The sequence below is a fragment of the Homo sapiens genome, chromosome 3 (assembly GCF_000001405.40).
Source record: "Homo sapiens chromosome 3, GRCh38.p14 Primary Assembly".
Lineage (NCBI taxonomy): Eukaryota > Metazoa > Chordata > Mammalia > Primates > Hominidae > Homo > Homo sapiens.
In genome coordinates this window covers 47,758,214-47,782,716 of record NC_000003.12, presented here as the reverse complement: position 1 = coordinate 47,782,716, position 24,503 = coordinate 47,758,214, and the positions used below count along the sequence as shown (strand labels likewise).

The 24,503-nt window shown below is 45.5% G+C and overlaps 1 protein-coding gene across 1 annotated transcript in view, besides 6 other annotated features; it reads left to right on the top strand.

The window, feature by feature from the left end:
- Window positions 81-140: a silencer, noted in NCBI's record as "silent region_14316". NCBI's record gives its function as "represses an Ori minimal core promoter by ATAC-STARR-seq in GM12878 lymphoblastoid cells {active_cell/tissue: GM12878}" and the evidence as "EXISTENCE:reporter gene assay evidence [ECO:0000049][PMID:35858748]".
- Window positions 251-300: a silencer, noted in NCBI's record as "silent region_14315". NCBI's record gives its function as "represses an Ori minimal core promoter by ATAC-STARR-seq in GM12878 lymphoblastoid cells {active_cell/tissue: GM12878}" and the evidence as "EXISTENCE:reporter gene assay evidence [ECO:0000049][PMID:35858748]".
- Window positions 584-878: an enhancer, noted in NCBI's record as "tiled region #56; HepG2 Activating DNase unmatched - State 1:Tss, and K562 Activating DNase unmatched - State 1:Tss". NCBI's record gives its function as "activates a minimal TATA promoter and a strong SV40 promoter by Sharpr-MPRA in HepG2 and K562 cells {active_cell/tissue: HepG2 | K562}" and the evidence as "EXISTENCE:reporter gene assay evidence [ECO:0000049][PMID:27701403]".
- Window positions 584-930: a biological region, named in NCBI's record as "Sharpr-MPRA regulatory region 56".
- Window positions 711-930: a silencer, noted in NCBI's record as "silent region_14314". NCBI's record gives its function as "represses an Ori minimal core promoter by ATAC-STARR-seq in GM12878 lymphoblastoid cells {active_cell/tissue: GM12878}" and the evidence as "EXISTENCE:reporter gene assay evidence [ECO:0000049][PMID:35858748]".
- SMARCC1 (SWI/SNF related BAF chromatin remodeling complex subunit C1) overlaps window positions 824-24,503 on the top strand; it is a 196,625-nt gene continuing 172,945 nt past the window's right edge. The window contains exons 1-2 of the mRNA NM_003074.4: window positions 824-1,114; window positions 9,781-9,900. Coding sequence (NP_003065.3) covers window positions 920-1,114; window positions 9,781-9,900 — 315 coding nt within the window. The 5' untranslated portion in view covers window positions 824-919. The remainder of the gene's footprint in view (window positions 1,115-9,780; window positions 9,901-24,503) is intronic.
- Window positions 1,111-1,350: a silencer, noted in NCBI's record as "silent region_14313". NCBI's record gives its function as "represses an Ori minimal core promoter by ATAC-STARR-seq in GM12878 lymphoblastoid cells {active_cell/tissue: GM12878}" and the evidence as "EXISTENCE:reporter gene assay evidence [ECO:0000049][PMID:35858748]".

Below are 24,503 nucleotides of genomic sequence, written 5' to 3'. Positions count from 1 at the left end.
ACATCTGTTCCTTGTCTCAGGTGTTCAGGATACACCTGTGAACAAGTTAAGATTAGGTTCTCATGTAATTTATGTGGAAGGTAAATGAGAAACTAGAAACGCCGGGTCGTGGTGAGCGCTATGCAGAAAGTGTATGGGTGTGAACAGTTGTTCAAGATTGTTAAGATCTGACAACTACTTTCTGAAGTCCTTTGAAGCAGTGAATCTGAACGCGTCTCGTAAGTGCAAATCAGAAGGGAAGACCTGCTGAGGTCTCGAAAGAGCCAGTGCAAGGGCCCCTGGGGCAGGAATGAGCCGCTGTGGCTGGACCCCTGAGGGAGTGGAAGGTCTGTGAAGCCGAAAAGCCTAGGCGTGGGAGTCCCAGATGGCTGTTCACAAATGCCGCCGGGCCGCTGGGGGTGGAGGGCCTGAGGGAAAGCGGGGCCCGGCGCAGTCCCAGTCCGGGTGCAGGGCCCTCGGCCAGCACTCGATACCCTAGACAGGCTTTCCCTTGGGCATTTCTCGCACCAGGCCTTTTCCCTCCAGCGGAGGCGGGCTATGACACATAACCCACCTGCGGTTGTTGACCGCATAATGATTCGACGTCGGTAGCGAGGGAAGAGCAAGGCTCAAAAACCGGCGCTCACTAGGGCAGAATGCAGCCTACGGAGGATGGCGGAAGAGGCGGCTGAGGCCGCAGGACGTGCTATTCCAAGGCACGGCCGCACGAGTGCTACGCATGCGCGTGCGCTGGCTCGCGTCAGATACAGTGCCAGTTCCCAGATGGGGCGGGGCCGGGCGTCCGCGCCGGAAGAGGGTTGGCTGGGCGGGGCCGGGAAGCGGCAGTGGCGGCTACGCGCGCGGGGGTGCGCGCGGGAACGACCGGGAAACACCGCGAGGGCCGGGGTGGGCCAGGCTGTGGGGACGACGGGCTGCGACGATGGCCGCAGCGGCGGGCGGCGGCGGGCCGGGGACAGCGGTAGGCGCCACGGGCTCGGGGATTGCGGCGGCAGCCGCAGGCCTAGCTGTTTATCGACGGAAGGATGGGGGCCCGGCCACCAAGTTTTGGGAGAGCCCGGAGACGGTGTCCCAGCTGGATTCGGTGCGGGTCTGGCTGGGCAAGCACTACAAGAAGGTGGGTTCGCGCGCCCGTGGGGGCCGGGAGACCACGCGACCGGGGCCGGAGGCGGCAGCTGGCCTCGCGGGCCTCGGGCCGCCCCTCCCCCCCGCACGCCACGAGGGACAACAAAGGCAGGCGCCGGGCCCGCCACGCCCCCGCCGCCCGCTCTGGGCGCCCGCGATCCCGGGGCCTGACTGGGGTTCGGGGCTCTCTCCTCTGAGCCTACGCACCCATGGTGAAAGCCCCTGCTCAGTCTCGTGTGCCAGAGCAGGTCGAGCTCAGCCACTAAGCGAGTGTGACTCTCTCTCTTTTGTCAGCTGCCTTAGGTGTGTGAACAATGATCCCTAAAGACCGAGCAAGCGTGGTAAAAGCAGCTTCAAGTTTTGTTTAGAGCGTATTCAAAGTCTCGAGGGGGTTTGCTACCTGTTGTTGAATTGCTAAACGACTGGGATGATTGTATTCGTTAATTAATAACAGGCAATATGAATTCTAGGATGGATGAGAACTATTAACGACGGTTCTACCTCATCGTGCTTCTGGTTCTGTGTGGCGTGAGAGTTGATGGTCGCTTGTACGTAAAGTGTTCTAAAGGGAGGCCTTCCCCAAGAACCCAGTTTTTATTAGAGCACTTTTCTTGTGTCACCTTTATTTTCTTCGTAGTGTTTACCACATTTTGAAATTATTCATTTACTGATTTCTCCTACCTTTGGAACGGAAGTTCCGCCGAGTCAGTAGTTTTCAAAGTTTTGACTTAATCCTTTGTTTATAACAAATGTTTTTTTTTTTTCCAACTTCCCTTTTGTGTAAATATTCAGGAGGACTCCCTTAAAGGGTGTAATGAAGCAGGTAGCCGAAAAGGCTCCCCAGCCTCTGAAGTTTTCCTATCACCCTCTTTAGTTCTGTACTTTCTCCTATTGAGAATCATAGCACTGAAGCAAGGGCTTTGTTCACTGCAGTGTATCCGGGAACGTGGCTGATACTTATTGCCTTACCCTTAGTGGCTGCTTAGTAAATATTTGTTGAATGAATGAAAACATAAACTAGTTTAGGAACCTATTTTTTTGGCCTCAGCAGCTCAGTGAAGCCTGTCAGTGTTTGGCAGTTATTAGGCATGGGCAGGGATCTTGGGTTCCTTTGGCATTACACGTGGTACATTCAGAAATGACCATTTCTGGCCGGGCGCGGCTTGGAAGGCCGGGCGGGTGGATCACCTGAGGTCAGGAGTTCGAGACTAGCCTGACCAACATGGTGAAACCCCGTCTTTCCAAAAAATACAAAATTAGTCGGGTGTGGCAGCACATGCCTGTAATCCCAGCTACTCGGGAGGCTGAGGCAGGAGAATCTCTTGAACCCAGGAGGCAGAAGCTGCAGTGAGCCGAGATTGCACCATTGCACTCCAGCCTAGGTAATAAAGTAAGACTGTCTCCAAAAAAAAAAAAAAAAAAAAAACAAAAAAAAACCAAAGACCCAGAAATGATCATTTCTTTCTTTCTTGTTTTTGAAGGTCAGCTAGAAAAATTACATTTCTTATCTGAAGTTTGAGGAAGTGAGAGACAGTAATTATATTTTTAGGTGTCTGGACTTTTCCTCCTCTGAAATTACATTTAGACTGTAGATTTTTAGTAATATTGCCCTTTCTTACACAGTGATAAATTGGTCACTTTTTAAATGTAAGTAATAGAGCTTCCAGAAGTGGCTAATGGAATTGAATATGTTATGAAAATATTGGTTAATTCTTCTTTATTACATTCCTTTTAGCCAATGCTTTGGGTCTTAAATTCAGTGAAGCTTTAACAAAGAAAAATAATCTACAGGCATATTCCTTTGAATAATATCAAGGAAGAGAGTAGAAAAAGGCAAATTTCAGTAATTTCTACCTCTCCGCACTGTTCAGTGTGCATCAGTTTGGGATCAACTACAAGAAGCTTTAGACATGGATAATCCTTCGATATTTGTTTGGGTGGGTAGGGAAGTGGCTACAAAGCAGTTTGAGGAATTGCCCAGCAGTATTGAGACCACTAGGCTAATGTTGATTCACTATCCCTGAGACTTTATAGACAAAGTTACCTTTGACTTCTCAGGACTTTGTAAAGCCAGAGTGTATTTCTAGGGTCTACTGAGATTGAGAAACGTATATACCCTAGGCCTGACAGCCAGAATCTTTTCAGTCTCTGGGTGTTAGCGTTGAAGTGGTGAAAATATTATCACAAAGTTCTTTGCTTCTTTTCTACACAGTGCATTTCTATTTGGTGTACGCATTGGTTTTAACTAACCGTTTCTAGTGCATTTAATACTGCATTTTCAGAGCAGACAACAGTTTCAGTCTCAGTAAACATGATTTTGTTAGTGTCATTTTTTATTTATTTTTATTTTACTTTATTTTTTTGAGACAGGGTCTTTCTGTGTTGCCCAGGCTGGAGTACAGTGGCGTGATCATAGCTCACTGCAACCTCAAACTCTTGCATTCAGCTCATGCATTCAGTGAACAACTGAGCATTTACCATGTGCCGGGTACTTAAAGTATAACTCACTTAAAGTCCTCATAGCAGTCCTAAATGATAGATATTATTTACCTTCTTTTTCAAATGGAAGATACCTGAGACTTCATTTAGGAATTTTCTTTTTTTTTTGAGACAGGGTCTTTCTGTGTTGCCCAGGCTGGAGTGCAGTGGTGAGATCATAGCACACTGCAGCCTCAACCTCCTGGGCTCAGGTGATTCTCCCACCTCAGCCTCCTGAGTACCTGGGACTACAGGCACGAACCACCACACCTGGTTAATTTTTTGTATTATCAGTAGAGGCAGGGTTTTGCAGTGTTGCCCAGGCTGGTCTCGAACTCCTGGGCTCTCTGCCTGCCTCAGCCTCCCAAAGTGCAGGGCTTACAAGTGTGAGCCACCACACTTGGCCCACACTGACTCTTACTTGAAATATTTTGAGACTAATAAATTTTTGTTTTCTTAAATAAAATATAATAGACTTTTTTTGATCAAAAGATTAATTGGGCCAGGTGCAGTGGCTTGCGTCCGTAATCCCAGCACTTGGGAATTCCAGGTGGGAGGTTCATTTGAGCCCAGGATTTGGAGACCAGCTTGGGCAACATGATGAGACCCTGTCTCAAAACAAAACAAAACAAAAAAATACATCAGTTGTGGTGGCATGCACGTGTAGTCCCAGCTACTTGGCTGAGGCAGGGTCCTTGGAGGATCACTTGAGCCTAGGAGGTCGAGGCTGCGGTGAACTGTGTTGGCACCATTGCACTCCAGCCTGGGCAACAGAGCGAGACCTTGTCTCAAAACAAAACGAAACAAAACAAAACAAAAAACAAAAACAAAAAAAAACCAGATTAATTGTTTATGACATAGAAATTAAAATTTCTTAATTAGGAGTCAGTGTTTTTTTTGTTTTTTGTTTTTTGTTTTTTTTTTTTGAGATGGAGTCTCGCTCTTCTGCCCAAGCTGGAGTGCAGTGGTGTGACCTCGGCCTCCCAAGTTGAAGTGATTCTTCTACCCCAGCCTCTTGAGTAGCTGGGATTACAGGCACCCGCCACCACGCTCTGCTAATTTTTGTTATTTTTAGTAGAGCTGGGGTTTCACCATGTTGGCCAGGCTGGGCTTGAACTCCTGACCTCAGGTGATCCGCCAGCCTCAGCCTCCCAAAGTACTGGGATTACAGGCATGAGCCACTGTGCCTGGCCTACATGCATTTTCATGTTTGGTAATTTGGTAGGATGATTTGGAAAAAAAATCTAATCAGAATTAAATATTTTATAGTTTATTAAAAATTGGACTGAGACTGGGGGCTGTGGCTCACACCTGTAATCCCAGCACCTTGGGAGACCGAGGCCGGTGGATCACCTGAGGTCAGGAGTTCGAGACCAGCCTGGCCAATGTGGTGAAACTTCTGCTCTACTAAAAATGCAAAAATTAGCCGGGTGTGGTGGCACATGACTGTAGTCCCAGCTACTCAGGAGACTGAGGCAGGAGAATCACTCAAACCTGGGAGGTGGAGGTTGTAGTGAGCTGAGATCGGGCCATTGCACTCCAGCCTAGGCTACAGAGCGAAAGTGTCTCAAAAAATAAATACATAAATAGAGACAGGGTCTTACTGTGTTGCCCAGACTGGTCTCAAATTTCTGGACTCAAAGTAGTCCTCTAACCTCGTCCTCCCAAAGTACTGGGATTACAGTCATGAGCCACTGCACCCGGCCTATATTCACTGTAGTTATTAAAAATATAGGCCGGGCATGGTGTCTCACGCCTGTAATCCCAGCACTTTGGGAGGCCAAGGCGGGCAGATCACCTGAGGTCGGGAGTTTGAGACCAGCCTGGCCAACATGGTGCAACCCCGTCTCTACCAAAAATACAAAAATTAGCCAGGCGTGGTGGCGTGCGCCTGTAATCCCAGCTACCCAGGAGGCTGAGGCAGGAGAATCGCTGGAACCCGGTGGGCAGAGGCTGCAAGTGAGCCGAGATTACGCCACTGCACTCCAGCCTAGGTGACAGAGCAAGACTCTCTCAAAAAAAAAAAAATAAATATTTACCTGAGGCCAGGTGTAGTGGCTCACGCCTATAATCCCAGCACTTTGGGAGACCGAGGCAGGCGGATCATCTGAGGTTGGGAGTTCGAGACCAGCCTGGCCAACATGGAGAAACCCCATCTCTACTAAAAATACAAAATTAGCCAGATGTGGTGACGCATGCCTGTAATCCCAGGTACTCGGTAGGCTAAGGGAGGAGAATTGCTTGAACCCGGGAGGCGGAGGTTGTGCTGAGCTGAGATCGCGCCATTTTACTTCAGCCTGGGCAACAAGATCAAAACTCGGTTTAAAAAAAAGAAAAAATATATATATATTTACATCTATATATTTACATATATGTTTACATATATATGTATATTTACCTGAAATGTTGATTTGGTTCCATCTGAACAGCCTTTTTCAAGGACATTGTCTTTTTCAGCTATAGAGTTTGGCATTGTTTAGTTAATCTGTAAAATACAGATTGTAGTTATTATTTTTGAGACAGTCTCACTGGGTCACCCAGGCTGGAGTGCGTGGCACGCTCTTGGCTTGCTGCAACCTCTGTCTCCTGGGTTCAAGCAATTTTCCTGCCTCAGCCTCCTGAGTAGCTGGAATTACAGGTGTGTGCCACTCTGCCTGGGTAGTTTTTGTATTTTTTTAGTAGAGATGGAGTTTGGCCATGTTGGCCAGGCTCGTCTCAAACTCCTGACCTCAAGTGGTCCACCCGCCGCGGCCTCCCAAAGTTCTGAGATTATGGGTGTGATCCTCCGTGCACAGCCGGTCATTATTTTTTTATGTTGCTTTACCGTGTACAAAAAAAGTGCAGTACATTATATGACTCCTTTAGGAAACCTGTGCTTATTAAAGATTATGAAGTTACCTTGCGGATAAGTACAATGTATTTTGTCAGTTTTGTAAGATACACTTGAAGTATTTTTTTTTTTCTCGTTTGAGACGGAGTCTCGCTTTGTCACCCAGGCTTGAGTGCAGTGGCGCACTTTCGGCTCACTGCAACCTCCGCCTCCCGGATTCAAGCCATTCTCCTGCCTCAGCCTCCCAAGCAGCTGGGATTATAGGCATGCACCACCATGCCTGGCTCATTTTTGTATTTTTAGTAGAGACGGGGTTTCACTATGTTGGCCAGGCTGGTCTTGAACTCCTGACCTCAAGTGATCTGTCCACCTTGCCCTCCTAAAGTGCTGGGATTACAGGCATGAGTCACTGCATCCGGCCAGAGTTTTAATTTTTAATTTTTGTGGGTACATAGCAGGTCTATTTCAAAGTTTATTTTATTTTATATTTTTTGAGAGTGAGTCTCGCTCTGTCACCCAGGCTGGAGTGCACCCAGGCTGGAGTGCGGTGGCACGATCGCGATCTGGGTTCGCTACAGCCTGCGCCTCCTGGGTTCAAGCGATTCTCCTCCCTCAGCCGCCTGAGTAGCTGGGACTACAGGCAAGTGCCACCATGCACGGCTAGTTTTTGTATTTTTAGTAGAGACGGGGTTTCACTGCTTTAGTCAGGTTGGTCTTGATCTCCTGACCTCGTGATTCGCCCGCCTCGGCCTCCCAAAGTGCTGGGATTCCAGGTGTGAGCCACCACCGCGCCTGGCCCTTGAATACCGTTTATTAAAAATTTACGGGGCTGGGCGCGGTGGCTCACACCTGTAATCCCAGCACTTTGGGAGGCCGAGGCAGGCGAATCACGAGGTCAGGAGATCGAGACCATCCTGACTAACATGGTGAAACCCCGTCTCTACTAAAAATACAAAAAATTAGCCAGGCGTGGTGGTGGGCGCCTGTAGTCCCAGCTACTCGGGAGGCTGAGACAGGAGAATGTTGTGAACCTGGGGGGCAGAGCTTGCAGTGAGCCAAGATCGCACCACTGCACTCCAGCCTGGGCAACAGAGTGAGACTGTCTCAAAAAAAAAAAAAAAAGTACTATGTTGAGTATATTGGAGAAAAACTGACTTCAAATTTTCACTTGAAAGTATATGGGCCAGGTGCAGTACCTTATGCCTCTAATCCCAGTACTTTTTGGGAGGCCAAAGTGAGAGAATCACTTGAACCCAGGAGTTCTAGACTAGCCCAGAGAAGTTGGTGAAAACGGTTGTGTACAGAAAATTAAAAATCAGCCAGATGTGTTGGCACGCCTCTGTAGTCCTAGCTCTCTGGGAGGTGGAGGAGGAGGATCACTTGAGCCCAGGAGATTGAGGCTGCGGTGGCTGTCATTACACCACTGTATTCCATCCTGGGAGACAGCAAGAAACCACTGTCTTGAAAAAAAAAAGTATATGGTCCTTCAAAAACTAGGCTTGCTAGTTTTTGTTGCAAATTATCAATATAGTATAAGGAAGGGGAAAGTAGTATGTAGTTTTTAAAGTTTTTAAAATTGGCTGGGCACAGTACTGTAATCCCAGCACTTTGGGAGGCTGAGGCGGGTGGATCACGAGGTCAGGAGATCGAGACCATCCTGGCTAACATGGTGAAACCCCGTCTCTACTAAAAATACAAAAAATTAGCCGGGAATGGTGGTGGGTGCCTGTAGTCCCAGTTTATTGGGAGGCTGAGGCAGGAGAACGATGTGAACCCAGAAGGCAGAGCTTGCACTGAGCAGAGATTGCGCCACTGTGCTCCAGCCTGGGTGACAGAGCGAGACTCCAAAAACACACACACAAAAAAAGTTTTTAAAATTAATTATTTGAGACGGAGTCTGGCTCTGTCACCCAGGCTGGAGTGCATGGGGACAGGTGTGCGCCACCACACCCAGCTAATTTTTTGTATTTGTTTTTTAGTGGAGACGGGGTTTCGTCATTTCAGGCTAAGTGATGGAAGAAGACCCCATCTCAAAAAAAAAAAAAAAAAAGTAAATGATTGCCTTTTTATATGCTGTAAGTAAGTTTCAATGGTAGTAGCAGAAATTGTGTGCCCTTTGTCCTATGCATAATAATTGTAGACTTTGCAGTTGATGTAATTTTGACCATACACCACTCATCTAAAAAATATTTATTGTAATAGAGACATACCACATTAACCTTGAAATGTTGGATGGTAGTTCGAAAGTTAGCTCCGGCAAAAAAAAATAAAAAAATAAAAATTCTCTCGTCCAACTGAAAGGCAGGTATAGATGTTTTTCTTGCTTGGAATTGGAGGTTTAAAAATACTTTTTGAGGCTGAGTGTGGTGGCTCACGCCTGTAATCCTAGCGCTTTGGGTGGCCGAAGTGGGCGGATCATGAGGTCAGAAGTTAAAGACCAGCCTGGCCAACATAGTGAAACCCCGTCTCTACTAAAAATACAAACAAAATTAGCCGGGCATGGTGGTTGCGCGCCTGTAGTCCCAGCTGCTAGGGAGGCTGAGGGAGGAGAATCGCTTGAACTCTGGAGGCGGAGGTTGCAGTGAGCTGAGATGATGCCATTGCACTCCAACCTGGGTGAAAAACAAGACTCTGTCTCAAAAAAAAAGAAAAAAAATTTTTTGAGAGTATTGGCTACTCAAAGTGATATTGAACATGTAATTGCCAAATAAAACTTTTACATTTAACTCACTAATTTATTCTTTTCTTGTTGTGTTACCCATTATTTTTCCTTGCTGTGAAGCTTCCTAGCTGATGTGTCTACTACTGGTTTGGGCTTTTGACATTCTTTACATTAATATGGATAATATTTCACTTTTTTTTTTTTTTTTTGGTAAAAAACACAGGAGATTTATCTTTGTGAGGTCGAGGCAGGGGCAGGTCACATGAGGTCAGGAGTTTGAGGCTAGCCTATCCAATGTGGTGAAACCCCGTCTCTACTAAAAATACAAAAGTAGTTGGGGGTAGTGGCTCATACCTGTAATCCCAGCTACTCTGGAGACTGAGGCAGGAGAATGACTTGAACCCGGGAGGCAGAGGTTGCAGTGAGCCGAGATTGCACCGCTGCACTCCAGCCTGGGTGACAAGACCGAAGCTCCGTCTCAAAGAAAAGAAAAAAAAAATTAACCGTCTTAACCATTTTTAAATGCACACACATATTTGTTTTTGTAAGCTCCTTTATAGCACAGAGCGTGTCTCAGACATCTATAAATTTCCCATAACGTAAGTACTTAGTAGGTACTAGGAAGTAAGCCAACATTTTCTCCTGCAAAAATTGTACTAGTTTTTGAATGCCTGTCTTTATCTTGCAGTATGTTCATGCGGATGCTCCTACCAATAAAACACTGGCTGGGCTGGTGGTGCAGCTTCTTCAGTTCCAGGAAGATGCCTTTGGGAAGCATGTCACCAACCCGGCCTTCACCAAACTCCCTGTAAGTACATCAGCTTACTGTTATTTGGGCATCCTCAGTTGCTGTATACTTTTAGGTGTAGCATCCAGCTTTTTTCCTTTGCTGCTGCTAGCGTGTAGAATTTAAAAAAAAAAAGCAAAAAACAAATTTTAGTTATAGAATATTACTATTTTTTAACTGTAGGAAGCTGCTTTTTGAAGAGGCATTTAACATTTGCATTAAATATTGCAGCAGTCATTGTGAAGACCTAACAATATTTTACTATGTTGCAGTTCCCTATCCTCTCGCCGTACCGAGTCTTCTCCATGCTTTCTCCTGATGCAGCTCTTATGCCATAAATAGAATTTATGGAATTTTTTATATTTTGTAGGTGAGATACCTTCTGAAGTTGTGTGAGAATATAATTTTGGTGTCCTTGCAATTGTGTGTTTTATTTTTGTTTTTACAGACAGGATCTTGTTCTGTTGCCCAGGCTGGAGTGCAGTGGTTTGATCACAGCGCACTGCAGCCTTGATCTCCCGGCTCTAGCCATCTTCCCACCTCAGGTTCCCAAGAGGCTGGGACTACTAGCATGTGCTACCACGCGCATATGGGTGACTTTTAAATTTCTGTAGTGATGGGATCTTGCTGTGTTGCCCAGGCTGGTCTCAAATTTTTGGCGGGAAGGCGATCCTTCTGCATTGGCCTCTGAAAGCTCTTTGATTACTGGTGCGAGCCACCACACCAGCCCTTCTCTGCTATCTTTATTTTATTTAATTAATTTATTTATGAGACAGAGTCTCGCTCTGTCACCCAGGCTAGAGTGCAGTGGTGTGATTTCGGCTCACTGCAACCTGCAGCGATTCTTGTGCCTCAAGACTCCCGAATAGCTAGGATTACAGGTGCGCGCCACCACACCCAGCTAATTTTTGTATTTTTAGTAGACACATGGTTTCACCATGTTGGCCAGGCTGGTCTTGAACTCGCAGCCTCAAGTGATCCACCCACCTCGGCCTCCCAAAGTGCCGGGAGTACAGGTGTGAGCCACCACACCCAGCCTTTATTTTTATGTTATGATATGTTATGTTATGTTATATTATATCATGTTATTTTTTGAGATACAGTCTTGTTCTGTCGCCCAGGCTGGAGTGCAGTGGAGTGATCTTGGCTCACTGCAACCTCTGCCTCCCGGGTTCAAGCGATTCTCCTGCCTCAGCCTCCTGAGTAGCTGGGACTACAGGCATGCACCACCCACCGCACCTGGCTAATTTTTGTATTTTTAGTAGATATGGGGTTTCACTGTGTTGGCCCCGCTGGTCTTGAACTCAAGTGATTTCCCTACCTCGGCCTCCCAGAGCACTGGGATTACAAGTGGGAGCCACTGTGCCCAGCCTCTGCTATCTTATACTCCTTTATTTATATTTTCGAACTCTGATTTTACAAATACTAGCTTTTTAGGAATTGTCTGTCATATCTTTCCTCATAATTTTTGTCTTTTAATTCATTTTGGTTTTCGTTGTTTCTAGCGTGCTGTTAGCTGCCTGTATGAATCTATGATCAGTAGACCTTTTTTGTGGGGACTGTTCTTGATCACTAAATCGTTTAACAACTTACTGATCTTTCAAATATAATTGAGAATAAGAAATAATAGGCGGGGCGTCGTGGCTTATGCCTGTAATCCCAGCACTTTGGGAGGCTGAGGTGGGCGGATCACGATGTCAGGAGATTGAGAACATCCTGTCTAACAAGGTGAAACACCATCTCTACTAAAAGTACAAAAATTAGCCGGGCGTGGTGGCGGGTGCCTGTGGTCCCAGCTCCTTGGGAGGCTGAGGCAGGAGAATGGCATGAACCCGGGAGGCAGAGCTTGCAGTGAGCCGAGATTGCGCCACTGCCTCCGGCCTGGGCGACAGAGTGAGACTCCATCTCAAAAAAATAAATAAATAAATAAAATTTTAAAAAATAGTATTGTTTCGGTGATCTTGCTGTAAATGTGTTTGTCTGTGATGTTTTTATTATCCAAAAAGTTAAAGAAATTTAGTTAAATATATTGATGTGGTTACTTTTCTCATTTTGAATTATAATTGGGAAGCTTTTATCATTCCTAGGTTATAAAGGAATTCAGCAATGTGTTCTTTTAGTACTTGTATGATTTCATTTTTTACCTTTTTTTAATTTTAATTTATAAAGATAGAGACGGGGTGTTGCTGTGTTGCCTAGGCTGATCTTTTTTTTGGAGTCAAAGTCTTGCTGTGTTGCCCAGGCTGCAGTGCAGTGGTGCAATTTCAGCTCACCACGACCTCTGCTTCCCAGGTTCAAGTGAGTCTTGTACCTCAGCCTCCCGAGTAGCTGGGAATTCAGGCACCTGCCACCATGCCTGGTTAATTTTTTTGTGTTTTTAGTAGAGACGGGGTTTCACCATGTTGACCAGGCTGGTGTCGAACTCCTGATCTCAGGTGATCCACCCGCCTCAGCCTCCCAAAGTGCTGGGATTATAGGTGTGAGCCACTGTGCCTGGTCCCAGGCTGGTCTTGAACTCCTGGGCTCAAGTGATCTTCCTGCCTTGGCTTTGCAAAGTCCTGGGATTACTGGTATGAGTAACCATGCTCAGCCTTATTATTTATTTTTTTTTTGAGACAGTCTCACTCTGTCACCCAGGCTAGAGTGCAGTGGTACAATCTCAGCTCACTGCAAGTTCTGCCTACCGGGTTCATGCCATTCTCCTGCCTCAGCCTCCCGAGTAGCTGGGACTACAGGCGCCCACCACCACACTGGCTAATTTTTTTTTTGTATTTTTAGTAGAGACGGGGTTTCACTGTGTTAGCTAGGATGGCCTCAATCTCCTGACCTCGTGATCTGCCTGCCTCGGCCTCCCAAAGTGCTGGGATTATAGGCGTGAGCCACCGTGCCCGGCCCCAGCCTTATTTTTACATGTCACTCTCTTATCCATTTAGGATTTGCCCTGGTAGTTAGTGTGGGAAATGGCAGATCCATTTTTCTGTTTTTCCTTATGGTTATCTGGTTATTCCAGAAAAGTTTATTTAAAAGGGCTCCTTTTCTCCACTGATTGCAGCTCAGCAAATGTTAAGAATTTGATTAGGTGCAGGGTCCTAAGAATACAAACAAATACTTTATATTATTTGTCCTCAGGGGACTCACAGTCTAATGAGCTGTGTGAGTAGAGCCTTTGACTTACTTGGTGATGTCAGGAAATATTTCTGTGGAAAAGGACATTTGAATTGTGTCTTGAAAGTTGAGTGTGAGTTCTTCAGCTAAGTGGGGGAGGATGGGATTTTCAGGTAGTGGTGGCAACACATAAAAGTGTTATGGTTGGCGGAGTGCGGTGGCTCATGCCTGTAATCCCAGCACTTTGGGAGGCTGAGGAGGGCGGATCACGAGGTCAGGAGATCGAGACCATCCTGGCTAACAAGGTGAAACCCCGTCTCTACTAAGTAGCTGGGATTACAGGCACCTGCCACTGCGCCCGGCTAATTTTTGTATTTTCTAGTAGACACAGAGTTTCACCATCTTGGCCAGGCTGGTCTTGAACTCCTGACCTCATGATCCGGCCACCTCTGCTTCTCAAAGTGCTGGGATTACAGGCGTGAGCCACTGTGCCCGGCCCTTTTTTTTTTTTTTTTTTTTTTTGAGACGGAGTCTCGCTCTGTCATCCAGGCTGGAGTACAGTGGTGCGATCTCGGCTCACTGCAGCCTCCGCCTCCTGGGTTCAAGCAATTCTCATGCCTCAGCCTCCCCAGTAGCTGGGACTACAGGTGCCTGCCACCATGCCTGGCTTATTTTTGTATTTTTAGTAGAGACAAGGTTTCACCAGGTTGGCCACTCCTGGTCTTGAACTCCTGACCTCAGGTGATCTGCCCACCTCTCCCTCCCAAAGTGCTGGGATTACAGATGTGAGCCACCGCTCCCAGCTAGCTGCCTGATGTTTTTTATAACAAAAATTTAAACATACTTAAAAGTAAAAGCTTACAAGATTAGTATGAAGAACTTTTATTTTCTCTTCACTCAGAATCTACAGTTAACATTTTACCCATTTGCTTTATCATTATCATTTTCTGTGGGATGTGTGTGTGTTATGTATTTTATGTGTGAAAAATTTGAAAGTTCCATGTTCCTTTACAGCTAAAGTATTCATTTCCTGTTCTCTTACATTATGAACTGGGCTAGAATTATCAAATTAGCTATTGATTGAGGTTTTCAATAGTTTAATTCACTATAATATAGTACATATTGATTGCACTTTATTAATTGTAACATAATTTAGAGTAAAATTACAGATTACATTATATAAAGTATTTTACATAATACGATTGAAATTATATTGGGATTCTTAATTAGGAATGTATGAATCTTTTCAAAAATGGTGTTTTCAGAGAGTGTTATATGTAGGCTATTTGACTCCTGGGAACTAAACCATTATTTAGTTCCAGATTTTAAAATATTAGGGAAGAATATTTTTAGGCAGAAGCCGTAATTAAAAACAATTCCTGGTTTAGTGCCACTGGGAACCGATGTACTTGCCTTCCTCTCAAAATGGTGTTCAACACTTTCCCAGATGAAAGGGATTGATACAATCCATAATGGTATAAAACAAAATTCGATGAGATAGATAATTAACAAAGCAAAGAATGTTTCAGTGAGACATATAAATCACATACTTTAAAAAGTTTTTTCCCTGAGTAATCAGTATGGTATAAGAGTTTATGCTGGGCATGGCTCACACCTGTAATCTCAGCACTTTGGGAGGCCAAGGTGGTCAAAACTCTTGAGCCCAGGAGTTTGAAACTAGCCTGGGCAACATAGGCCCCGTCTCTACAAAGAAATACAAGAAAAATTATCTGGGTGTGGTGGTGCCTGCACGCTTGTAGGCCCAGCTACTTGGGAGGCTGAGGTGGGAGGATCACTTGAGCCTGGCAGACAGAGATTGCAGTGAGCTGAGACTCTGTCTTAAAAAAAAAAAAAGAGTTCACTGTTTTTTTGTTGTTGTTGTCGTTGTCCAGGCTGGAGTGCAATGGCGCAGTCTTGGCTCACTGCAACCTCTGCCTCCCGGGTTCAAACTATTCTCCTGCCTCAGCCTCCCGAGGACCTGGGATTACAGGCGCCCACCACCACGCCCAGCTAATTTTTGTATTTTTAGTATAGACGGGGTTTCTCCATGTTGGCCAAGCTGGTCTCGAACTCCTGAACTTGTGATCCACCCGCCTCGGCCTCCCAAGGTGCTGGGATTACAGGCGTGAGCCACCGCACCCGGCCGAGTTCACTATTTGGACTTTTTTTTTTTTTTTTTAAATCAGAGTGGAGGCTGGGTGCGGTGGCTCACACCTTGTAATCCCAGCACTTTGGGAGGCTGAAGTGGGTGGATCACCTCAGGTTGAGAGTTCGAGACCAGCCTGACCAACATGGAGAAACTCCATGTCTACTAAAAATAAAAAATTAGCCGAGTGTGGTGGTACATGCCTGTAATCCCAGCTACTCAGGAGGCCGAGGCAGGAGAATCACTTGAACCCGGGAGGTGGAGTTTATAGTGAGCCGAGATTGTGCCCATTGCACTCCAGCCTGGGCAACAAGAGCGAAACTCCATCTCAAAAAAAAAAAGAGAAAAAGGAAAAGAAAAAAATCAGAGTGGAACCTTTTTTTTTTTTTTTTTTTTTCTTTTTGGAGACAGAATCATGCTCTGTTGCCCAGGCTGGAGTGCAGTGGTGTGATCTCGGCTCACTGCAACTTCCGCCTCCTGGGTTCAGGCGATTCTCCTGCCTCAGCCTCCCAAGTAGCTGGGACAACAGGTGCCCGCCACCACGCCCGGCTAATTTTGTTTTGTATTTTAGTAGAGACAGGGTTTCACTGTGTTAGCCAGGATGGTCTTGATCTGACCTCGTGATCCGCATGCCTCGGCTTCCCAAAGTGCTGGGATTACAGGCGTGAGCCACCATGCCCAGCTAGAGTGGAACTTTATATAGTAACTTCCCAAGTCATGCTGGATGTCGGACAGCTGGCTCTTGTTCTATCAAATGCTGAGAGATTTAGAAAGAACCAAGCATTTCATAAGGCTAAGGCTAAAGGTATATTGCATTACCAAACACATGATTTGAAACAAAAAAAATTGCTAAGAAGATGTGGGTATAAAACAAAAAAGAAAAATATATTTTACCTTCACTACAAGTAAAGTTTCTAATTTTCCCACAAGCCCTCCAAGGCTTTAGTACGTGTGCATACATAATGTAAACATAATTGTAATAATAGGATAGAGCTGTTTTTCTTTTTTTGAGACAGGGTCTCTCTCACTCTGTCACTCAGGCTGGAGTGCAGTGGCATGATCTCAACTCACTGCATATTCGACCATGACTTTCCAGACTCAGGTAGATCCTCCCACCTCACCCTCCTGAGTAGTTGGGACAAGCATGCACCACTACACCCTGCTAATTTTTGTTTTTTTTTTTTGTAGAGACAGGGTTTTGCCCTGTTGCCCAGACTGTTCTCGAACTCCTGGGCTCAGGCAGTCTTTCCGCCTTGGCCCCCCAAAGTCCTGGGTTTACAGACATGAGCCACAGTGCCCGGCCTAGAGCTGTTTTTTTATTCTGCATTTTAAAATGGATTATAAGCATCTGTGTTTAAAAAAACAGGAAAGCTCTGAGAGTAAGAAATATAGAAGGTTAAGTGAGAGTCTCAAGTAACTGGATTTTAATTGTGTTTGGGAGATATCCAAGATTTTGTTTTCTTTTTTACGTGACACAGCTCCAGGAGATCTTGAGAACATGTACCCTTATGCCCAAAATTGTAAACCTGTCATTGCACTTAAAAAAATCATTTAGGCTGGGGGCAGTGGCTCACGCCTGTAATCCCAGCACTTTGGGAGGCTGAGGTAGGTGGATCACCTGAGGTCAGGAGTTCGAAACCAGCCTGGCCAACATGGTGAAACCCTGTCTCTACTACAAATACAAAAATTACCCGGGTGTGGTGGCAGGCGCCTGTAATCCCAGCTGCTCGGGAGGCTGAGGCAGGAGAACTGCTAGCCCCCAGGAGGCGGAGGTTGCAGTGAGCCAAGATCATGCCACTGTACTCCAGCCTGGGCGACAGAGTGAGACTCCATCTCAAAAAAAAAAAAAAATTAATTTGCAACTGGAGGAAAAATGTAGAATATTATATTCCTGAACTGATTTCACTCTGCTGTTGTATGAATTTCAGAATGGAGAGACTATCTTTGGGAACATGGGACTAGGAAGGAGACCGTAAGTGTTGTATATATATTTGAAGTGAGCATTTGAGTTTGTAGCTTAGAACTCTGTCTGATGAAAGTGGAATATGAGCACCTGTTTAAGCAAAATAGTGTAGGAAATTTACTTGTGGAATAATGGTTTAGTTTCTTTCTTTTTTTTTTTAAACAACTTCCTATTGTAAAATATATAGAAAGTGAGTAAAATAAATTTTGACTTAAATAATTATAAAGAGAACATCCATTTAACCACAGTCCAGGTCAGAAATTGCTAACAACCCTAACAAACGTATGTGTTCCTTCCCCAACCATAAACTCCTCTTTTTCCCCACAGATAATCTTTTCCTTGCCGTTTTTTTTTTTGTATGTTTTTGTTTTTGAGACAGAGTTTCTCTCTTGTTGCTCAGGCTGGCGTGCAATGGCACGATCTCGGCTTACTGCAACCTCTGCCTCCCGAGTTCAAGCGGTTCTCTTGCTTCAGCCTCCTGACTAGCTGGGATTACAGGCATGCGCCACCACGCCCGGCTAATTTTGCATTTTTGGTAGAGACAGGGTTTCTCCATGTTGTTCAGGCTGGTCTTGAACTCCCGACCTCAGGTGGTCTGCCTGCCTCAGCCTCCCAAAGTGCTGGGATTACAGGCGTGAGCCACCGCGCCTGGCCTCCTTGCTTTTCTTTATAGGTATCACTGTGTTAGTGTGCATCCCTGAATAATATAGTATTATGTTTTGCTTGTTTTTGAATTTTGTACTAATGAACTCATAGATATTCTTGTAACTTGGGGGCCATGTAGGAAATAATTTGCCAACATGGAGAAAACAAATAGTCTAACTGAACTGCTCAGCCACATACGTGTGGATAAAACAAATTACTGTAGAAGAATAGTTAAATCTGAAAAATCTAGTTAGCTAGCTTCTGGCCTTTATAATTCATGTGCAAGGGCAGTGAGCCTACATGATGTAGCATGACCAGTTAGATAGAGCTCAGTAGGCTGCAGAATATGGGCTGCTGTGCTGGAGACATGGACTAGTATTCCAGGCAGAGGGCATGCTGGACCAGGTGGTGGGCAAGGCTCTGGAAAGCTATATGATCAACTTCAGTGCAGGTTTGTACTCCGTACCATGTGGATTCGTAGGTAGAAACCTGAGTTCACTGACATTGTACTTATTTATTTGATTGATGTTTCATTTATTTATTTTTTCTATATTTTTACTTTTTTCATCTTTCTCTCTCTCCCTGTAATGTGTCCTACAGCTTTGCTGAAGTATGGCCAATGTACAGTGAACAGTACATATTTAGCTGGGCACACTGGCTCATGCCTGTAATCCAGACTACTTGGGAGACTGAAGTAGGAGGGTCACATGAGGCAAGGAGTTTGAGACCAGCTTGAGCAACATATTGAGACCCTATTTATCAGAAAAACTAAAAATTAGTCGTGCATGGTGGTGTGTGATTGTGGTCCCAACTACTTGGGAGCTGACCCAGGAGGATCACTTGATCCCAGGAGTTAGAGGCTGCCATGAGTTACAGTAGTACTACTGCTGCACTCTAGCCTGAGTGATAGAGCGAAATCCCATCAATATCTCTTTCTCTTTTTTTTTTCCTAAAGAGAAAGGCTGGGTGCAGTGGTTCATGCTTATAATCTTAGCATTTTGGGTGGCTGAGGCTAGAGGAGTCCTTGAGCCCAGGAGTTTGAGACCAGCCTGGACAACATGGTGAGAGCCGTCTACAAAAAATAAAAAAAAATTAGCTTGGTGTGGTGGTGCATGCCTGTGGTCCCAGCTACTTTGGGAGGCTGAGGTAGGAGGATCTCTTGAGCCCAGGAGGTTGAGGCTGCAGTGGGCTATAATCATGCCACTGCACTCCAGCCTAGGCGACAGTGAGTCCCTGTTTGAGAAAAAAAACCTAACTGAAGTATTTTGTGTTGTGAAAATATAGTGTAAACATAAAACAGAATACTGTATATATATATTTTTTTTCTTAAAAAAAAAATCTCAGCTGGGCACTGTGGCTCATGCCTATCTATAATCCCAACACTTTGGGAGGCCTAGGTGAGTGGGTCCTCTGAGCTCAAGAGTTTGAGACTAGCCTGAGCAACAATCTTGTGAAATTGAGCTTTTCTTAATATATCTACAAAAATGTAAAGTGTAATACTGACGTATTTTAAAGCAGTTGTCAGAACTCACTGAAAAAATTATTATGTTTTTATAATTTTTTTTTTTTTTAGAGCTGGAGTCTCGCTATTGTTGCCCAGGCTGGTCCCAAACTCCTGGGCTCAAGCTATCCTCCTGCCTTGTCCTCTGAAAGTGTTGACCCAAAAGGGCTGGGTGTGGTGGCTCATGCCTGTAATCCTAACGTTTTGGGAGGCTGAGGCAGGAGGATCACTTGAGCCCAGGAACTCGAGACTAGCCTGGGCAACAAAGTGAGACCCTGTCTCTAAAAAAGATTGAAAAATAAAAAAGAGGAAAAGAAAGATTATTACTGTTGAAGAAGGAGATGCATTGAGGAGATGGATACACCTATTTTAAGGGAACTATCATTCAACGTTTTCTCTTTTTTTTTTTTTTGAGATGGAGTCTCGCTCTGTCGCCCAGGCTAGAGTGTAGTGGCGTGATCTCGGCTCACTGCAACCTCCGCCTCCTGGGTTCAAGCAATTCTCCTGCCTCAGCCTCCCGAGTAGCTGGGACTACAGGTGCCTGCCACCACACCTGGCTAATTTTTTGTATTTTTAGTAGAGACAGGGTTTCACCGTGTTAGCCAGGATGGTCTCGATCTCCTGACCTCGTGATCTGCCCGCCTCGGCCTCCCAAAGTGCTGGGATTACAGGCGTGAGCTACTGCACCCAGCCACACCTGGCTAATTCTTATATTTTTAGTAGCGACAGGGTTTCACCATGTTGGCCAGGCTGATCTCAAACTCCTGACCTCAGGTGATTCTCCCATCTCGGCCTCCCAAAGTGCTGGGATTACAGGTGTGAGCCACTGTGCCTAGCCTCATTCAACATTTTCTAAATTTATTTTCAATTGTTACGTGATTTGGTGGAACACCTGTAAATACGTTGAGCATAAAATGTTGTCATAGCCAGTTCTAACAAATGTGGTGGTGTGATTGAACTGGATAATACTATTTTGGGATGTTTTAGATGAGTCACAGTTCATAAGCTATCTCTTTCTGACACCTTTGAATTTCTTCCCAGTAAGTATGACTGACCTCATGGCAGGAATTCTCACCAACTGGATCAGTCTGGTGTAATGGAAAGGGTGGGAGTTGGAGGACTGTCACTTTAACAGTCTGTTTTCATTTGATTGAATAAACCGTTTGGAACGTGAAGTTAATAAGAAGGGGCTTACAGTTGGAGTTGGACTTGATCACTGGTTTTATAATTATTTCCTGGGGAGTACCTGTAGCATCTGAGAAGAGGGAGGGGAGGAGTAAATGCAGAGGGCTAAGAAGAATCTGTTGTCTTCAAGTTTCACTTTGAACAATTTTTCTTAATAGTCCTCTCTCTGAGTTTCTAAAAATGTTCTGTGGCAAAGGAATAGGAGAAAGCAAGCTGGGCATGGTAGCTCACGCCTGTAATCCCAGCACTTTGGGAGGCTGAGGCGGGCGGATTACCTGAAATCAGGAGTTCTGGACCAGGCTGGTCAACCTTGTGAGATCCTGTCTCTACTAAAAATACAAAAAAAATCCCAGCTATTCAGGAGGCTGAGGCAGGAGAATAGCTTGAACCTGAGAGGCAGAGGTTGCAGTGAGCCAAGATTGTGCCACTGCACTCCAGCCTGGGCAACAGAGTGAGACTGTGTCTCAAAAAGAAAAAAATGAAATAGGAGAAAACTATTGAATTTGGCAAATGTTATGATCTCTCTTACTGAACATTTTATGATCCGTATGTGAGAATGGTATTGTTTTGCCAAAATCATGCTGATTCTAGGACTTTGTGGAATGGATGAGGGAGAAAACAGATTAGCATATAGGTCTTGGAAGCAAGAATAAAAGGATGGACTTACGTGAAAGAAATCAGCAGTCGTAGTCACTTGAGTTGTCATCATCCATCAGGTCCAATCTAGCAGGGAGGGAATAGCTTGAGAGACTTGAGACTGAGGCACAGATCTCTGTAGAACATGGGATTTATCCTGGCAAATACAGTGATCAAATTTAGGAGATTGGCTTTGATATAATACCATTATTTACCATATAATCTATCTTCACATTTCACCAGTTGTCTCAAAAATGTCCTTTATAAGATCCACACCAACACCACATATTTTATTTAGTTATATATTTTTAGTCTTATTTAATTTGAGATAATTCAGCCTGTCTTTTTTTTTTCTGAGATACTGCCTTGCTCTGTCACCCAGGCTAAAGTACAGTGGTATGGTCATAGCTCACTGCAGCCTTGACCTCCAGGGATCAACTGATCCACCTGCCTCAGCCTCCTGAGTGGCTGAGACCACAGACACATTCCACCACGCCTGGCTTTTCTTTTCTTTTCTTTTTTTTTAGACAGAGTCTTGCTCTGTTACCCAGTCTGGAGTGTGGTAGCGCGATCTCAGCTCACTGCAGCCTCCCCTTCCCGGGTTCAAGCCATTCTCCTGTCTTAGCCTCCCAAGTAGCTGGGATTACAGGTGTGCACCACTACACCCAGCTAATTTTTGTATTTTTAGTAGAGATGGGGTTTCACCATGTTGGCTAGGCTGGTCTCGAACTACTGACCTCAAGTGATCTGCCTGCCTTGGCCTCCCAAAGTGCTGGGATTACAGGTGTGAGCCACAGCACCTGGCCAAATTTTTTAATTTTTAATTTGATAGAGATAGGGTCTCACTGTGTTACCCAGGCTGGTTTTGAACTCTTGGACTGAAGAAGTCCTTCTGCCTTGGCCTTCCAAAGTACTGGGATTGCTGCTTTGAGCTACCACGCACAGCTGATTGACGTTTGTTTGTTATGACTTACATTTTTGTTGTTGTTTTTTGAGACAGAGTCTTGCTCAGTTGCCCAGGCTGGAGTGCAGTAGCACAATCTTGGCTCACTGCAGTCTCCTCCCCTACCAGGTTCAAATGATTCTCCTGCCTCAGCCTCCCCAGTAGCTGGGATTACAGGCATGCGCCACAACGCCCAGCTAATGTTTGTATTTTTAGTAGAAACTGGGTTTCACCATGTTGGCCAGGCTGGTCTCCAACTCCTGACCTCAGGTAACTGTCAGCCTTGGCCTCCCAAAGTGCTGAGATTACTGGCATGAGCCACTCCCTCTGGCCCATGACTTAACATTTTTGAAGCATGCAGACAAATGTTACATTTGTAAAAATTTCTTTTTTTTAATTTTTTTGAGACAGCCTTTCTCTGTTGCCCAGGCTGGAATGCAGTGGTACGATCCTGGCTCACTGCAGTCTGCCTCCTGGGTTCATGCGATTCTCATGCCTCAGCCTCTAAAGTAGCTGATTAACAGGTGTGCACCACCATTCCCAGCTGATATTTTGTATTTTTGGTAGAGATGGGGTTTCACCATGTTAGCCATGCTGGTCTCAAACTCCTGGCCTCAAGTGATCTGCCCGTCTCGGCCTCCCAGAGTGGTGGGATTTCAGGCGTGAGCCACCATACCTGGCCTCAAATTTTTCTGTGTTATTGCTTATAGTTGTAATTTGTTTATTGTCATTGCTGTGTACGGGCTGATACATTTTTTCTTTTTCTTTTTTTTCTGGAGATGGAGTCTCGCTTTTGTTGCCCAGGCTGGAGTGCAATGGCATGATCTCAGCTCACTGCAACCTCAGCCTCCCGAGTTCAAGCGATTCTCCTGCGTCAGCCTCCCGAGTAGCTGGGATTACAGGCACCCGCCACCACACCCAGCTAATTTTTTTGTATTTTTAGTAGAGATGAGGTTTCACCATGTTGGCCAGGCTGGTCTTGAACTCCTGACCTCAGGTGATCCACCTGCCTCAGCCTCCCAAAGTGCTGGGATTACAGGCATGAGCCACTGCGCCTGGCTAAATTTTTTCTTTTTCTTTTTTTTTTTTTTTTTTGAGACGGAGTCTAGCTCTGTCCCAGACTGGAGTGCAGTGGTGGAATCTTGGCTCACTGCAATCTCCGCCTCCCGGGTTCAAGCTATTCTCCTGCCTCAGCCTCCCGAGTAGCTGGGATTACAGGCACGCCCCACCATGCTCGGCTAATTTTTGTATTTTTAGTAGAGACGGGGTTTCACCATGTTGGCCAGGCTGGTCTTGAACTCCCGACCTTGTGATCTGCCCGCCTCAGCCTCCCAAAGTGCTGGGATTACAGGTATGAGCCACCACGCCCAGCCTAATTTTTTTTGCTAAAGGGACAGAGTGTACTGTATGCTGTGGCTCACTCCCATAATCCAAGCATTTTGGGAGGCTGAGGTGGGTGGATCACTTGAGTCCAGGAGTTCAAGACCAGCCTGGACAACATGGCAAAAGCTGGTCTCTACAAAAAAATATCAAAATTAGCCAGGCGTTTGGGAGGGCCCCTGTCGTCCCAGCTATTTGGGAGGCTGAGGTGGGAGGATTGCTTGAGCCAGGTGGCGAAGGTTGTAGTGAGCTGAGATTGCACCTCTGCACTATGGCCTGGATGAAAGTGACACCCTGTTTCTCCTCTTTTTTTTTTGGGTCAGAGTTTCGCTCTTGTTGCCCCGGCTGGAGTGCAATGGTGCGATCTCAGCTCACCGCCACCACCGCCTCCCTGGTTCAAGTGATTCTCCTGCCTCAGCCTCCTGAGTAGCTGGGATTACAGGCATGCACCATCACGCCTGGCTAATTTTGTGTTTGTGTTTATCTTGGCCAGGCTGGTCTCAAACTCCTGACCTCAGGTCATCCACCCACCTCAGCCTCCCAAAACGTAGGATTACAGGCCTGAGCCACCGCGCCCGGCCAACACCCTGTTTCTAAATAAATAAATAAATTAATTAATTAAAGGGACAGATAGTAAATATTCTAGATAGTAAATATTTTAGGCCTGTAGGCTCTGTGGGCTCTGTTACAGCCACTCAGTGTAGTATGAAAGCAGCTATATACAATACGTAAATGAGTGTATGTATATGCAGTACATAATAAGTATGGCTGTGTACTGGTAAAACTTTAATTTTGATTTTTTTGAGATGGTACCCTGTTGTGTTACCAGGTTGGAGTGGTGTCCTGAATGAACACAGCTCACTGCAGCCTTGACCTCTAGGGCTTAAGCAATCCTCTTGTCTTAGCCTAGGCATATACTACCACGTGTGGCTAGTTTTTGTTTTTTTTTTTTTGCGAGGCTGAAGTGGGAAGATTGCTTGAGCCCAGGAGTTCAAAACCAGCCTGGGTTAGATAGTGAGACCACATCTCTACAGAATATTAAAATATTAGCGTCAGCATGTTGGCAAACTCCTGTGGTTGGAGCTACTTAGGAGGTTGAGGTGTGAGGATCACTTGAGCC